Here is a 2,138-nt window from a genome sequence, read left to right as displayed (position 1 = left end):
TTTGCTCTTTATGAGGAGGGAGATGGAAATGAGGTGATATTTCTTCAATATTTCTTCCTTCTCAGGGTTTTTCATTTTCCTTATCTTTTTTTAATTTTTAAGAGCTTTGTAATCTCCTTAAGTATTCCTTTTTTATAGCATACTGTTCTTGTTTCATGGAATTTCTTTTACTTCTCAATGAATATTGATTATAAAATTTATTTGGGAAATAAAATTTTCCTGCATAGTTTTTGTTTCTGCCAAATTGTTTTTTCTTCCATATTAGAGCTTTTCCTTATATGTAAAACTTGACTGTATGCTCATGATAACGAATAGACAGCTAAAAAAAAAAAAAACTAATAGGAAATTCTCAGCAAGTGGGCGAGGCCTGTCAACTTAGCTTCAAAGTAGGGTTATCTGGCTGCGCTGTTTGTTTGGAGAACACCCAATATCTTTAGGTATTTATTCTCCAGATGGTTAGTTACCCAAGGAATGGTCTTACAGTATCTTGCCATGAGGGTAAGGGTCTAGATGCTAATTTACTGGGAGCCAAGTGTGGAAATGGCATGGGCATTATAATTCAGAGTCAGTTCTTTTCCAGAGCACTGTTTCTAATGAAGGGCCCAAGAATGGGAGGTGGGAAGGGCACTGTCAGTCTGTGCCTAAAAGGCTTGTTTCCACCTCATTATACATCAGAATTGCCTTTGCTGTAGTAGAAAATTGGACATCCAAATGGTGAGGTAAGTAATAACAAACAAGAATTTGCTGAGTGTCTCCCTTACTTAGCAACATAGAAGTAGATGCATGTACTTGAGCTGGTCAATATCCACTGTGGACTGCATGGTAGGCATTGGGGAATTATTGAAGGTCTGTCTCTTTTCTAGTCATTTTGCAGTTGAGTAAACAATGGCCAGAGAGATTAAATTAACTGACCCAAGGTCAGACAACTATTAAGTGGCAGAATAAGAATTCTCATCCCAGTCTATTTGATTCCAAAGCTCTTTATTATTATTTTAAATAGTATTTTTTCCAAGAAATGTATACTTAGTATAGGTATCACAGGAAATATATAAATTTTCAAATAAACTTTTAAAAAACAACTATAAGGCCACCAAAACATTGTGTAATATTCTTTCATAGGAATCCACCACAATTTATAATTTATAAAAATAATTGATCATTTATTTGATTCTCCCCTAGTTAGGTTCATTTAGATTGGTAAACCTATGCTCTTTCTACTATATGACATCAACCAAGAGCAGCAAGCATAAGTAGGAAGAGCAGGGTCCTAGGCAGGTGCCCAGGTAGAAAGCTACTGAGTAAAAGGGATTCAGATGGACATAGTTCAGCACCCTGGAGAGCTCCATGACAGTATTGCTCCATTATGGACTCAGCAGTAACACTGGCTGGGAACCCTTTAGGGTTCTGAACTGCTTTCCCAGAATGGGATGTTAAAAGAGATAATACACGGCTAAGTTTTGGGGGGTGGAGGTGGTCTCTTTGTCCCTGAAGGGATTCATCCTTACCAGTCCCCGGTTCAAAGAGCACTGTGGCTGTGGGTAGTTTTTCTCACCACTCTGCTTTTTCTCATGCTAGCCCCTCAGCTGGGAATCCCTGGCTAATTTCTGCTGATCTTTCAATGTTCCATTTCGTCACTAGTTTCTCCAAAAAGATTTCTGAGCTCCCTCTATCTTCACCCTCAATGATTTTCTCCCTTTTTCCTCTGCATCTCTCTTACTCATTATATGTGCCATATTAGATTATAATTACGTCTGTCCTCCTCCTTAGAATATGAATTCCTTGAAGCAGGGACTGAGTCTTAGCTATATTTTGTCCCAGTAAGTACTCAATAAATAATATTTAAAAATCAGCAAATGAGTGCATTTTTGTAGGCAATGAGAAGCTATTGAAGGTGGCTCTCAACCAGTGGCAGTTTTGCTCCCTGAGAAAAATTTGTTGATATCTGAAAATAGTCTTTGCCGTTACAAGTCAGCGGGTAAATGCTCCTGGAATATAATAGGTAGAGACCATGGGCCCTTGTAAATATCTGACAATATACTTTACAGTCCCCAAACAAGGAATTATCTGGCCCAAAATGTTATTCATGCTGAGGATGGGAAACACTGTTTTAGAACAATAAAATGGATTTAAACAAACTC

General features: G+C 37.7%; 1 annotated feature.

The window, feature by feature from the left end:
- Nucleotides 1,243–1,443: a silencer, noted in NCBI's record as "peak5798 fragment used in MPRA reporter construct". NCBI's record gives its function as "represses an SCP1 promoter by STARR-seq MPRAs in K562 erythroleukemia cells {active_cell/tissue: K562}" and the evidence as "EXISTENCE:reporter gene assay evidence [ECO:0000049][PMID:32103011]".

Source organism: Homo sapiens, chromosome 6 (assembly GCF_000001405.40).
Source record: "Homo sapiens chromosome 6, GRCh38.p14 Primary Assembly".
NCBI classification, from domain to species: domain Eukaryota; kingdom Metazoa; phylum Chordata; class Mammalia; order Primates; family Hominidae; genus Homo; species Homo sapiens.
Note: the sequence above shows the minus strand (reverse complement) of the source record. Positions and strands in the feature narration are given on the sequence as shown.